This window comes from Homo sapiens, chromosome 3, assembly GCF_000001405.40.
Source record: "Homo sapiens chromosome 3, GRCh38.p14 Primary Assembly".
NCBI classification, from domain to species: Eukaryota; Metazoa; Chordata; class Mammalia; order Primates; family Hominidae; genus Homo; species Homo sapiens.
Window position 1 is genome coordinate 39093801 of NC_000003.12, and position 13831 is coordinate 39107631.

The following is a 13831-nucleotide window of genomic DNA, read 5'->3' on the forward strand; positions in this document are numbered from 1 at the left end:
AAGAAAAATAATATGGAATAAATAATATCTAGTGATTTCCCTGATGTCACAATATGCCATTGCTTTTTTACAGAGATAGACTCTCTGCTAGTGACATGCTCCAAGTCCGAAAAGTTATGGAACATGTTTATGAAAAAATTATCAACTTGGATAATGAGTCTCAAACCACTAGCTCTTCTAATAATGAAAAACCAGGAGAACAGGAAAAAGAAGAAGATATTGCTGTGTTGGCAGAGGAGAAAATTGAACTTTTGTGCCAGGACCAGGTAAGTGGACTTGAGGACTACAGCCCCAATTTTTCCAGTGCTGGTGCTCATAAAGAGTTACATGCCTTTGGGTGGGGGGCTTCTACTTTTAGAGGGGCTCTAAGGAGCCCTGGGCCTCTCCTACCTAAAGCCCACCCTAAAGCTCCTCTTTACTGCTGGGGAGATTTTCAGAGAAGGGATACATAGACAAATGTGGATGTGCTGGTAGCTTTTTTTTCTGACAAGAAAAAAGACACATGGTCTTCTTGATTTGCAAAAAGCATGTGCCATGTTTATGATTTAGAGTGAAGGTGTGCGGAGAAATGGCAGAACTGTTTTTTAAATCAAGATGCACTCAAAACGTATCCTCAGAGGAATGGCTGAAAGATGGCCTGGTGTTTCTGGCATAGTCACAAAAGATGTACATCTCACTAAGCTCAATTTCATTCCCGCATGCATGGAAGCCGTGACAGCAAGAATTGGATACCAGGCATAGGGGAGGAGTGAGCAAGCTGGATCACCTGATGAGAGTCCCTGAGTTAATGATAAGGTTTTAGATATTAGAGACTTTGAAATTTTTAAATTTAATTTTGGCTATTCAGGTTTTGGATCCAAATATGGACCTTCGAACAGTGAAACACTTCATATGGAAGAGCGGTGGAGACCTCACCCTCCATTACCGTCAGAAGTCCACGTGAAGGCTGGGCTAATGCTCCTGGATATTCATTTACGACCTTCCTCTATGGCCCCAAGAGTAGTCCTAGGAAGCCCACTGATCCCCAACGGGAGCAAGACTTCTAACGGCTGATTGGTATGGACCGAGATTATCTTTCAATTGAAGTGACTAATCGAGATGTAATATAGAAACCAGTCTCCATGTGTAGATTAAGCTGTCCCCAGGGAAGCAGAGTGCAAGAGCAGAAGAGCCCCAAGCAGACTATGTCTTTCAAGATGTACAGAAGACTGACAACAGGCCAGTGCAGACTTTGCTTCCTCCTTTTGTTTCAAAGGACCTTATCTACCCATTAACACTTGTTAGAGACACCTCAGTCGGGCCACAACTGTCTCTGTTTCAACTTTAAGCCCACACACTCTGTAGCTTTTCTAAAACAGTACATTCCATTCATGCAGTAGATATGAAGGCTTTTTCCAAGTTTGTCATATAAAGTAATCAAATTGTTTTCACCGTTTAAGACAGTTATTTTTAATGGGAATTTGCTGTTGCACAATTTGAGAACCAGCCCATTTCATAATAAAAGATTAATGTTGGGCTTGTTGTTAATATTGCATCTCAGATGTGTTCTTGTAGGAAGATCTGTTGAAATTCCAGGTGCTGGATCATAGCACTTGGACTGTTGGGCCGGAGTTTGTGCAGCCCATGCCTAGCGATGCTGCACCTCCCATGATGTCCTGGCTTTGTGGCAACCCCAGGGAGGTGCAGCAGTTTCACTCCTTCCTCCACTGTGTCCAGTTTTATTTACACAAAGCGAGCTGAGACCACAGGTTCTTGCTCTGGATGAGCAGCATGACACCATCAAAATTTAAGACCATGATGAAATTTCAGTTTCATTCAAATGTTACCTAAAATTTATGGTGTCAGAATAAAGGGAGATCATAGTGAGTTAATTTGATATTCATATCCTGGAAGTATACATATTTGTTTTTCCAAAGTTTTATATGCAGGTTTTTGTTGTACCTGTATCCAGATCTTCTTTTCACTGTTCTAACAATCTAACACTTTCATAGAATCATTTGGATCTTGTATAGAGTGTAACTTATTGGGGATAAACACTTCAACTTTTGGCAGAAAATACTTTGGATTCTCCCCAAGGTCATTTGTATTCAGAGTAAATCAGTGGTCCACCCCCATAAAACTGTAAGACAAGCCTCCTGTATGAAGCCAGAAGCACAAGTGCCTTCAGAGGGCAGTTGATTCCAGTCCAGTTGCCTCCCTAGCTTGTGTGTGGCCTGCCTCCACCATAGCAGGGACTAGGGAGGGAGGCAGGGAACGTTTTTTCTTTTCTACATCTTCACAGGTTCGGCTGGGGGCAGCTGATAGGCCTAAGGCCATACCTTACTATTTAAGATACTCTGATCGCACAACTGCAGAGACAGGGTTCCCTCACTGCTAGTCAGCTTCTTTTGGAAACTGGACAGGCCATTGCCACCTGCACTTTGAAGAAGTGAGCAAAGACGTGGCCACATTTCTAATAAGTTGAAATGGTCTTTCTCCCTTCCTCAGAGAGCAACCAGCTTCTTTTTTTTTAAAAGTCCTTTCTATCTGTTGGATACAACAGTGTGCTTTTGGTGCACATTTTTTAGCAATAGTTGTGAATTAATGGCAAAGAAAAAAAAAATTATTTACCAGCCCTCAGTTGTGTTTGCCCGAGGGGCCTTTGAGCAAAGAAATGGGTTTTGCTGGGTCATTTTGCCCTGTGTGCTAAGCCTTGGGTGGCTGCATTCCCCTCCTGTCATAGATCTGACCCCCAGCATGATTGTATTTCTTTCCCCTCCAGTCAAACCGTAATACAGTTTCCAGAAAATTCGACAGTCTGCAATGCCAAAAGGGTAAAAATCTGTATTTCACAGTTGTATAGAATAAAGGCTTTAGTTAAAATATTTCAAAGTGTAGTACACATTTATTTTCATTTGTTATTTTCTTTCATAGCAGATTACAGAGAAAGAAAGAAACCTCTGGTTTCATGTTCTCCCTGGAAATATTAGCATTGATACCCATTTTATCCTCCAACTTATGGGGGAAGGGAAAGTAAAAGTGAGGGAGGGAAGAGCCAGAACCTTTGGGTGAGGGCAACTTTGGGTCAGACTGCCAGGCTACAGAGTTAAGGGAAGCTGGCCCCAGAACAGTCCTGTGGCGATTCTGTTCTACTTCCTGCATTCCAGCAGACTTGACACTGGGCTCCCAGACGATCCAGGACACAATGCCTCACTGTTATGCACACGTATCAGCTGCTCTGGTAGGCTTGACAAGGGTTTGCTTTAAATGAAGGGTTTGCTAATTTGGGACCCTCCCTCCATATAGTTGGCCTGTGCCCCCCAGAGCAGACATTCCTTGTCCTGCATACCTGACACAGCTTGTGAGTTCCCTGCATGTACACCAGCATTACAAATGATCCTGTAAAGGTGAGACTTTCAACTAGGCACAAGCTAGAAGACGAGGCCAGAGCAGCTTTCATAGTAATTAGCAGTGTGGGAACTGAGGGTCCAGTCAACACAGCAGAGGACTTCAGGTGATGAGGGGCCGTCCCCAGGTGGAGTGCAGGGCCTAACCTAGCCTTAACCTCCAAAGGCACCTGGGGTGGGGAGAACAGCTTCCTCCCCTACAACAGGAAAGAACAAAAGGGTCTTTACCTACTCTTAATCTAATCCCCTAATTCCCCCTTGGGGTTGGGAACCGTGCGTGGATAGACCTAGTCAGGTAGACTGGCTTTGAGAAATTGCTTAGGGTGTTGAACTTAAATTTGTGACTTTTATTCACTATTGGGGCTGGGTAGATGCCTTGTATATTTAGAAGAGATCACTGTTTAAGTTTGGGAGCTAACAGGAGTTGCCACTGGGGATACAGGTCTGTGGCATGTAGTCCCTGAGGAAGAAGAAATATTGTGGTCTGGGCACAAATGGGTCTCTGCTGAAGGGCCTAGAATTTCCAACGCACCTCCCTCCAGGAGATGGGGGCAAGTACACTGCCTCTCTCTCCCTCCTGTGACTAGCATGGTGATCAGCCTGAGCCAAGTGTAGCATTGTAGCCTAGGGACAAGGACACATGACAGAGGACTCAGTGTTTGGGACTTGAAAGGGGGTGGTCCCAGGGCTCCAGGGTCCCTTCCAGTACAGATGGGGTGGGCTGAGCTGTGCAGGAAGAATCAAAGCGACCAGGCCAACACTGGACAGCAACCCCTTCCTTCCTCACCTCATCTTCACACTGGATTATGACCAGACCCTGCTGCCTCCTGGGAAGCCCCAGTGACCAGAGCAGGACCAAGCACTGGACCTGAGGGTACACGGCCAAAAGATATCCTCCCACAAGGCCCATGGCCCCCTCTCACCACCCACTGAGGCCTCATGTCCCACCAAAGCAGCAAGGAATCCTGACCGCATAGTGCAGCCCGGGCTGCCTGCCCACATCTGGGCCTCATGAAATGTCATCATGGGCCTTGTCACAGCCCAGGGTGTTATTCTGTGGTAGAGATCTGGGCCTGGCTGTCCAGCCCCTCAGCCTCCGTCCCAGTATCTAGGCCCTCTGTGCTTGCTGGTTCCTCCTCAGCCTGAGCTTCAAGCAGCTCGGCGGACAGCCCATCTTCTGGTGAGGCTGCAGAGGTGAGACTGTCAGGAAGAGTCAGCTGAGGCAGGTGGTCCGCCTGGGCTTGGGCACCTGGGCTGTCCAGGAAGGAGACCTCAAACTCTGACCCAGACCATGTAGCCTCACCTGCAACACAGAAGATCAGGCTGAGGAGGTCTGCAAGAACCTAGGGCCATGGTGTTAGGGCCAGTAACCCCACCGACCGCTCCCCATTGCCACTCCAGGTTTGATGGGGGATTGGAGATGGAGTGTACAAATGCCTTGGTGTGGCTGTATCAACCCGATGGCCCACTTCTGCCCAGCTGAGGAATTGAGGGCAGCCTTCCCAACAACCCGGGGTCCTTCCCAGAGGACTTCGGAAGGTGATGGCCACTCACCACCCCGCTCATGAGAACTGCTGCTGGAGCAGATGTCCTCTGGCCCTGAGGTTGAGACAGCTGTGGTGGTCAGTTCTGTGGAAGAGGGCAGGCTGGGCCACACACTGGCATTGCTGTTGTCCAAGAGAGAAATTCCCGACACGTCCAGGAAGCCTAGGGGAGGGTGGTGCAGTTCTTTGCCAGCAAGAAACCCTGACTGCTGGAAAGCAGCACCCTGGGCTCACCTTGCCTAGGGCATCTGGCCCAGCCTGTGAGACTGTAATCTCCTCAGCCCCTGGTGATACCCCTCACCCAACCTCAAAGAGGTTCCCACACTGCCTGTTTCTGAGGAAAGAAAGGGGCCTGGAGTTGGTCATCATGTGAATAGCACAGTGGCAGTAGGCATAGACTCTGCTCTGTGTCCAATTTGCTGTGTGACCTGAAGGAGGCTACCTCTCTTCTCTGGACTACAGACTCCCCATCTGTATACTAGATTGGATGATATGCAACTATTAAATATCTTGGTATACATGAGATATGAGGGGTCAGCAAGGCCTGGGGAAAGTTTTGACATAGCTGCCAAAGTCCAGCCCCAAGCCTGGGGCCCACTCCTCTCCAGGGCCTGCCCAGTACCTGGGTCCATAACTCGCTGCACTGGAGGTGGGGGCTGAAGAGGAGTCTCCATGAAATGGGGAAGTCCATCAGGGTCTGGAGCACTGTGGCTGGGACTCCCAGGCCCAGGAAGGGGATCCTCCATGGAGGAGCCAGGTGCCTGCAGCAGGGCCTAGGAAAGAAGAAGAAATGGGTAGGGGACAATCAGGACAGTGCCTCAAGGTGAAGAATTTTGCAGTCCAACCTAACCACCAGTCCCCACTTGTCCCAGGAACACTGCTCTGCCTAAAGGAAGGAAATGGCCTTAATAAACCACCCCTTCTTCTATTGGTGATAGGAAGTCAGGCCTGAGGGGCCTGGCCTGGCCTCCCTGCAGTGTTGGCACTGAGAGGGAGCACTCTTTGCACTCAGACAAGGAATCCCAGGTGCCCACCTGGCCCCAACACATTCCCTTTGCCCCATCAATGACTCATTAGAAGAGAGGGGCTTCCTTGAATTCAGGCATACCTGGAGAACATCCTTGAATACTCCCTGGCCTAGACCCAAGGCACCAGCCCAGTGCCCAAAGGTGCTCTCAGAGGACCCACTCATCAGCTGTGAAGGCAGGGCCAGCACTTCCCTGCAGACTTGGCTAGACAACCATCCCAACTGTGGCTCTGAAGGCCTAGCCCTTTGTCCAGTTTTGCCACAACTCACAGGCACAGCAAGCACCCATCTCTGAGCCTCAGTTTCCCACTCATGAAATGAAGATGACAACTGGTGCTTCACCTCCACCCTCACTTCTAGACCCAAGGGGCAGGAAAGCCAAAAGTGAGTTTCACTGCTCCAGGCATGGCCTGCCTGCTCCCACTGGGTCCCAGAAGTACATGGGCCTCTCAGATCACAAAGGCCCCTGGTGAGGGTTGCTGATGGCTCCCCAAGGGCAGCCTCTAGAGTTTTCTGTCTTCCCAGTTGGCAGATTCTCCCCACATACCTCCATGTAGTCACTCTGCCTGGAACCTGTCTCCAGGGAAGGAGAGTCCTCGGGGGTGGGTCCAGGTGGTAGAGCATCAGGTGGTGGGGCACCAAGTGGTAGAGCAGAAGGTGGTGGGGTGCCAGGTGGCTTCTTGTGGTAGCTGGGGGGCTGAGTTGGGATCCGGTGTAGATACCCATAGCCAATGCCACATCCCAGACTGCCGAAGGCCAGAAACATTCAATCCAGGGGCTTGTCCCACGGCCCTCCCTACCTTTGCTATCCCCACCTACTACCAGCAATAAGGGGGCTGAAAAGGGTACTTCTGAAATACCGGTCAGCCTCAGGATCCCTGGGCCCAGGGCCCAACCCTCCTCCATCTCCACCATAGAACTCTGAGGTCCATGCCCAATGGTCAGGCCCCACCCACCTGGCCCTGCAGCCCTCCAACCCCACGAAGTACCTGCCCTCTCCACCCCAGGCTGCGTTGGGAGTTACAGTCACCTCCCGGCAGGAGTCTGACTTGGAGTTATACACCATCAGCTTCAAGGGCTTCCCCTCATGAGACTCGATGAGCGTAAAGAAGTCCTCGGACTGTGAGAAACGCATAGCACCTGAGGCCTGCTTCCAGGGCTAAAGCCTCAACAAAACCAGACACTTCTCATGGACAGCACCCTTCTCTTCACACCACATCCAGAGGGTCTGGGGAGGGGCAAATTGCGGGTTCCTCACCTCCTGGAGAATCTGGTCCGAACCAACCACATAGTCTGTGTAGGGGCGCAGGCCGGCAAGGGCAGCAGGTGAAGATGGTTCCACATCCTGGGGAAAGAACCGCAAACCACTGGCCATGCTACTAGAGGTGGGGTTGGGGGATGGGAAAGGGCAGGGGGAACTGCCTCTTGAGGTAGTGAGTGGGACACTTGTCCTCTATCCCTAAGCAGGGCTTCAAGCCCATACTCCCTCATTTCACCCCTCCATTCCCCTATCTCCCCCAGGTCTACAGCCTGTCCAGCAGAGGGCAGTACCATGATAAGGCTCAGCACCAGGCTCTGGAATCTGACCCCGGGCTCAACCCCTGGCTCCAGCTGCCCAGCTATATGACTATAAACACATTATTGAACCTCTCCTAGCCTCAGTTTCCCCACAATTAAAAGTAAGATACACAGTACCTAATGATAGGGTTGCTGAGAAAAATAAATAAATATATGAAAAGAAGAAAAGCACACCTTGGCTACAGGAGCACCCACTACATTGCTGCTTCTGCTGCAGGCATGTGGCTAAAGACTCCTAGGGGTTGGAGGTGAGGGCAATGAGCAAAACTGGGTACAAATAAGGATTCCCTTCTCCCTTGGAAAGTTCCACCACTCCCAATCTCCCAGTCTCCCTGGGAAATGCAAAGCAATTTGCATCATCAGTCCCCTTTCCCTCATGGGCAGATTAAGGCAGGCTGTGAAAGTTGAGAAACTTGGCCAGGCTCTCCCAAGAAGTCAGTGAGAAAAATAAGTGGCTAGAAAACAAATCAGCCAACTTCTAGTTCAGAGCACCCTCCTTCCACCAGGCTACAGGACTGAGCATTCAAGAACTTAGATACCATCAATGGGCACAGGTGTTGGGTGTGCATGTGTGTCTGTGGACAGACTAACATCTATGACAGCTTGGTCACTGAGGTTAAGATATCGATTAATCATATAAGAATATACCAGAAAAAACAGTATATTTACAGTCACATTGCTTAATGACAGGGATATATTCTGAGAAATGCATTGTTAGTTGACTTCATTGTTGTGCAAACATCATAGAACTTAACCTACACATAGCCTACTAGACACCTGGAGTATATGCTATGGCCTGTTGCTCCTAGGCTACAAACCTGCACAGCATGTTACTATACTGAGTACTGTAGGCAACTGTAACACAATTAAGTATCTGTGTGTCTAAACATTCAGGCATAGAACAGGTACAGTAAAAATATGGTATTATAATCTTATGGGATCACTATTGTATATGCAGTCCGTGGTTGACTGAAACGTTGTCATGCAACACACACACGGAGAGACACAGAGAATAATAAAAGCAGCAGCATTCCAGCAGTCCAACCACCATTCCAGTAGATGATATTTCTACCTTTCAAATTAAGTAACCTAGGTATAGAAGGTAAGAAAGTACCCAAAGTCATGGCTAACAGGAAGCAAGATACACTGTTCAGGTAGTAATGAGCTGCCCTCTCTGGGACACTGGAATGAGACCACATCCTGCCCTCAGTCTTCCCTGGCCACTGCTCCAAGGCTCCCACTCCACTCCTGCATGTACCCCCTCACACCCCGCCCACACCCAGACCTGCCCCAGTAAACTCATCCTTCCGACACACCCTGCCCTGCCATACCCCACACTCACCAGCACATGCCACACCTGCTCACTGGCCCTGCGGAAGCTGCAGAAGCGCACACTGGCACCCAGTAGGCCCTGGCCGCCCCACATGTTGCTGGGCACCACCTCCACCTCGCGCACCCTCATGGTCTTCATATTGAACACCTCCAGCTTCACGGGCTTCTCCACATTGGCTTTCAGTAGTGCCTTCAGGGTGTCATTCTCCTTGTTCTGTGGGGGCAATGGGGCTGACTCCAAGGCCACCTCATGCCCAGGCTAGGACCCTCAGACAAGTCTGGGCCTGAGATGGGGCAAGGGCCTTAGTGGGCAGCAGCCCTCAGCAGGGTCACTGTGGGGATGGGCCAAGGTAGTGGATGGGCCAGGTTCACAGACCAGGGTTGAGCCTGCAGCCACTGGGACCCCCACCTTCCCCAAGCACTGCCAAACCTTCCTCAGCCTGCCAGAAAAAACAAAGCAAGCAAAAAGCCTCCCAGATCCACAGCATTCCAGTGCTGCCCCACTCTGAGCTGCCCCTTGGCCAGGGCCCTCATATCCCTCATGCCCCAGGAGGCAGGCCCCTTGGGCCTTGTTGCCACCTCCAAGAGGCCATATGTCCTCTGTCCACCCCACAGAGCTCAGAAGCTGAGCACTGGGCAGGGCCCCAGTCAGGCTCTGAGTACAGCCCTGGAAGAAGGGGAGACAGGGCTGGGACTCCCTTTAGAAAAAAAGGGAGGGAAGGGTAGACTGGGGCCCCCTGTGGGACAGATGAAGACACACAAACACACATAAGCAAGCAAAGCAGAGGCAGGTTGGGGAACTCACCAGCCTCGAGTGCCCAATGGTGATGATGAAGTCAAAGTAGGGCTCCAGGCCCGCCTGCTGGGCTGGGGAGTTCTCCTGCACCTATCCCACAGCAAAGACCACAGTCACTGCGCCAACCCTGGGACTCTCCAAGTAGCCCTCTCCCCCATTTCAGGAACCATCAGCACTCCCAGTGTGCCAGCCAGAACACATGTCTGGCATGAACTGTTCCGGACATTCTCAGGGTTCACTCCATGGCCTCTTGCTACCTTCCTGGGCACAAATTTTCCTCTTAGGAAAATGGCTCCTTCCTGATTATGATCCACAGATGCTTTCAGAAATGGCTCACAGCCCAGGACATCCTTAGGGGCTCCCAGGAGGCAATATGGAGACAGGCTGGCCCAGGCCTGTGGGAATGCTGCTCTAGAGGGCTAGGCTAGGGTTGGCCGGAAAGCCAAAAGGGTTTACCAGAAAGGTTTAGACTGGACCAGAAGGGAGGGCCCTGACGTGCAGTGGAAGTGGGCAGGCCTCGGGAGGGATACACCCAGGGCTGTACCCAGAAAGAGGGAGTGGGAAAAGCAGCTTGCAGCCAGGTCCCAGCTTGCACCCCAGCCTCTGGGGTGGGAGACCCAGGCTCAGTCCAGCAGGTAATGAAAGCCACTGGCAGAGAAGCAGACCCCAGGGGTAGAACTAGGCCTGAGCCAGGGAGCCCAGTGAGTGGGCAGTGCCAATCCCCACAGCCTGGCTCTGGACTGAGGAGCCCCCCAGTGGCTCAGCTGCCCTACCAGCCTCATAGTGTAGCCTCCATGCCTGTGCAGGACACCTCCTCCAGGAAGCATTCCCATTTCCAGGGTGCTCCCTGCCCCTCCCTGAACTCCCCACCTCACTGCTGTCTCCAAAAGCACAACAACCAGGCTTTGCAGGCTGTGGCAGAAATCCATCCCAAAAGCCCCATATACAGAGCCTGGCTTAAACAATGCAGGCTTTGTCCCAAGGCCCTAGACCCGAAGATGGGCCCACACCCTCAGGTCTTTGGCTGCGGGCATTTGATAACCTGTTGGCGTAGACACCAGCCAGACCCAGCCCAGAGGGCACAGGACCTAGGCTCTTGCTGCCTCCTCATGGGAAAGGCCCTGTGGCTCCTGCTACATACCAGCCCCTCCAGGTTTGGATTCCCCAACCTGAAGGAGAGCTCATGAAGACTAGGCTGAGAACAAACCGCTGAGATCAAGGCCAGTTTGCCCCTGGAATTAGGATTCCCTTCTGGCAGCATCACCAACTGAGCCCCTCCTTATCACCTCCAGAAGCTGCCATGGCTTCCAAAGGGAGTGAGTGCGGCCCAGAAATCAGATCTGGGCCTAGTTGGCCTGGCCCAGTAGGCAAGCTGCTCCCAGGCCCCGCTGCAGGGGAGCTCTGGGCCCTGCCCTCTAACCCTTCAGGTGAGGGGATCTTTCGAAAACCACAGGACAGGACAGTTATTCAGGAATAGCTTGGGGACAATGCCCCTCCCTAATCAGGGCCACCTCCAAATCACTCCACGTCAGGTGCCTGCCTACTTCCCTCCCCACTCCCCAGTATTGCATGTCAGCTGCTCTCCATCATGAATGAGGTCCAGAGGGTCAGGCCCCAGGCCTGGCCTCCTTGACCCACCCAATACCTCCACCACCCTCTCCTGTGGCTTTGTCCTCTGCTTGGCTACACTCCACTTCTCTCACCTGGGGCCTCATCACTACTCACTATGGCTCCGCAGCTGAAATAATCTATGCTGCTGCCCACTGTACGGCTCCCCCTGCAGAAACCACTGCCTGCCATCCAGCTCCCTCAGGGGCTCCCATCACAGCCTGCCCCAAGGCCCTATAGTGCTGCTTTTCCTCATGCTCCCACCCTATTTTTCCCAATCAGGGAACCTAATGGAACTCACAGTGATCACAACTTACACTTACTAAGGGCTGGTTGGCTGAGTGCCAGGGCATGGCACCACCTCACCTGCTTTATGTGTCATTTAACCTTTTTAATAACCTCAAATGACAAATGAGACCAAGTACTCAATAATTCAGTAATTTGACCCCAGGAAATCCAACCCAGAGCCCTCCCCCTAACCACTGCCCTCTCCTAACAGCTGTTTCCTGGTGAATCTGCCACTACTCTAAGCTCGCTGAGGGCAGCGACTTCTCCAAAGTATTGGGCACGCAGCGAGGTGCCAATATTTCTAGAATGCAGCACAGCTGTTCTTCAGTGTTGTTAAAGGTAAGTAGGTCATGTCACTCCTCCATTTAAAACCTCCTGATGGTTTTACATCTCAGAATAAAATCTTAAATCTTCAGGACAACAGGCAAGGTCCTACACGGTCTGCTCTGGTCTCCTCCTCACACTGGCCACACCATCCAAGCACACCAGCCTCACCTGGCATTTCCTCAAACACACAAGCACAACCTACCTCGGGGCCTCTGCACAAGCTGGTCCTTCTGCCTGGAATACTACTATTCCCCTAAATATCTGTATTGTCCACTCTTTACTTCCTTCAGAAGCATCTGTTCGAATGTGACTTGAGAAGAGGCCCTTCCTGACCACTCTATCAAAAATAGCACCCACTCACCATTCTGTATCCCCTTAACCTGCTTTATTTTTATCACTGGTAATTACCACCTACCATGTATTTTTTCATTTCCCTTCTTTCCCTACCATCATCCAAATGTCAGCTCCAGAACAGGGACCATGTTTGTTCTGTTCACTGCTTTATCTCTAGAGCCTTAGAATTCTGCCTGCCAGAGTAGGAGCTCAAAACTTTGTTTTTGTGACTGACAACCTCTGATCCCTGGTCCCTCTCCAATTTGTCCCTCTCCATCAGGCAGGCCCCTCCCGTCTTCGAAGCTCCCATCATCGCCCCACCCCTCCTCTTGCCAATATCCTGAGTTCCTTTGCCTTTAATCAAACCTGTTGGAAGACGCTCCTGGCTGGATGCATTCCACTGTCCACGCTTGCTGTTTGGTGTCTCACCATAAGAAAGCCCATTCCCAAGCACAAATCCTGTCAACTCTGGGTTCTCCAAGCCAGCCTGGTTTTCACGTTAAGAAACTTTTAGCCCTCTCATGTGGTTAGCTGGCAACAGACCCTACCTTCAAAACACACAAACCGACAAGCTTGCCTGTCTCCACTCATCTCTGCATCCAGCTGCCTTTCACTAGGGAAAGGGGGGGTGCAGGGACGCCTCTTCCCCGCAGCGCTCCGGGGTCAGAGACCCCCAGCCCCTCTCACCTACATTATAGCCCTTCCCTCACCGCAGGCACAAATCTCCATCCGGCTGCGGGACCCTCTCCTCACCCTCACAGCACACTCCGTTCTAGGAACCCCACTCCGTCTCCACTCTCCGGAAGCCTGCTCGCCCAGACCTCCATGTAGCGGCATCTAAAGGCTGGGACCCTCCCCAGCTGCAAACGCTCTCCTCGAGGATTCTGCAGCACTCTCCCGGCCCTCCCGCTCCCCACTATCCCGTGGCTGGTTTGCACCGGTCCTCTACCCTCGGAAGCCCTTACGACCCTACGACTGGCAGGACGCGCGCCGACGGGCTCCCCCGCAGCTGCGTCCACTCGGTTAACCCCGGCCCCCGGGACTGTCCTCGGCGTGGCTGACTCTCTTCCCAGGCCCAGCACGGAGAGCGGCCCGCGGCAGGCGAGCGTAAATGTGTGCTAAGTGCACGAGTGCGTCCCGACTGGTAGTGGTGCATTCTTCACCCGGGAGGAGCGCCATTCCCGGCGGCCGGACCAGGAAAACGCTCCGCTTCCGGCACTGCTGGCACTTGGGGCGGGCGCTGGGCCCGACCGCGGCCGCGGACTAGCCAGGGTCCGGGAGTCCCGCGAGGCCGCCTCTCCCAGGAGGCTCCCACCGGGCAGGGGGCACCTCCCGCCACCCAGGCGGAAACACTCGGGCCGGGACCCCGCCGCAGTCGCCAGCCAGCCGGCGACCGGACGCCCGGGCGCGGGGTTGCGGGCGCCTCGCCAAGGTCACCGGCGCCGCGGCGGCAACTCACCCCGTGGAGGTGGAAGCCCTCGGCGCCGCCTGCGGGCTGCTCAGCGCTGACGCCCAGGCCCATGGCAGCGGCTCCGCTCGGCACCCAGGTCCAGTCCCGCTGCGCCTACCCGGACCGACCCGACGCCAGTAGCACCGACTCGCTCTCTCGGCG

The 13831-nt window shown here is 52.5% G+C and overlaps 2 protein-coding genes across 28 annotated transcripts in view, besides 3 other annotated features; one reads left to right on the forward strand and one right to left on the reverse strand.

Moving 5' to 3' along the window:
- WDR48 (WD repeat domain 48) overlaps window positions 1-2864 on the forward strand; it is a 44649-nt gene extending 41785 nt beyond the window's left edge. For 8 of the 11 annotated variants that reach the window (NR_144401.2, NM_001346225.2, NM_020839.4 and 5 more), the window contains 2 exons: window positions 74-266; window positions 848-2864. Coding sequence is in view for 8 of the 11 variants with exons in the window: in NM_001346225.2 (NP_001333154.1) it covers window positions 74-266; window positions 848-943 (289 nt within the window). In the remaining 3 variants the exon portion in view is untranslated. Of the gene's footprint in view, window positions 1-73 lie in introns of all 11 variants that reach the window. The other 3 variants (NR_144400.2, NR_144399.2, XM_005265346.5) reach the window with 2 other exon arrangements.
- Window positions 2799-13827, reverse strand: GORASP1 (golgi reassembly stacking protein 1). 17 transcript variants are annotated; one of them, NR_103866.2, is made up of 9 exons: window positions 13679-13827; window positions 9673-9753; window positions 8878-9081; window positions 7216-7302; window positions 6988-7077; window positions 6505-6703; window positions 5553-5703; window positions 4941-5093; window positions 2799-4689 (listed from the first exon to the last, which is right to left on the reverse strand). NR_103866.2 is itself a non-coding variant. In NM_001410726.1 (9 exons), the coding sequence occupies exons 1-9, from the start codon at window positions 13739-13741 to the stop codon at window positions 4436-4438; spliced, it is 1233 nt and encodes a 410-aa protein (NP_001397655.1). In that variant the 5' UTR covers window positions 13742-13827; the 3' UTR covers window positions 2799-4435. The 17 variants fall into 17 exon arrangements, 14 of the variants coding, with proteins under 14 accessions (NP_001397655.1, NP_114105.1, XP_006713364.1 ...); NR_103867.2 differs by having other exon boundaries at window positions 6505-6654; window positions 6947-7077; NM_001410726.1 differs by having other exon boundaries at window positions 6505-6654.
- Window positions 9182-9681: an enhancer, noted in NCBI's record as "H3K4me1 hESC enhancer chr3:39144473-39144972 (GRCh37/hg19 assembly coordinates)". NCBI's record gives its function as "activates a minimal SCP1, AML or CMV promoter by ChIP-STARR-seq in naive H9 embryonic stem cells {active_cell/tissue: H9 hESC(naive)}" and the evidence as "EXISTENCE:reporter gene assay evidence [ECO:0000049][PMID:30033119]".
- Window positions 9360-9409: an enhancer, noted in NCBI's record as "active region_19691". NCBI's record gives its function as "activates an Ori minimal core promoter by ATAC-STARR-seq in GM12878 lymphoblastoid cells {active_cell/tissue: GM12878}" and the evidence as "EXISTENCE:reporter gene assay evidence [ECO:0000049][PMID:35858748]".
- Window positions 13457-13776: a silencer, noted in NCBI's record as "silent region_14217". NCBI's record gives its function as "represses an Ori minimal core promoter by ATAC-STARR-seq in GM12878 lymphoblastoid cells {active_cell/tissue: GM12878}" and the evidence as "EXISTENCE:reporter gene assay evidence [ECO:0000049][PMID:35858748]".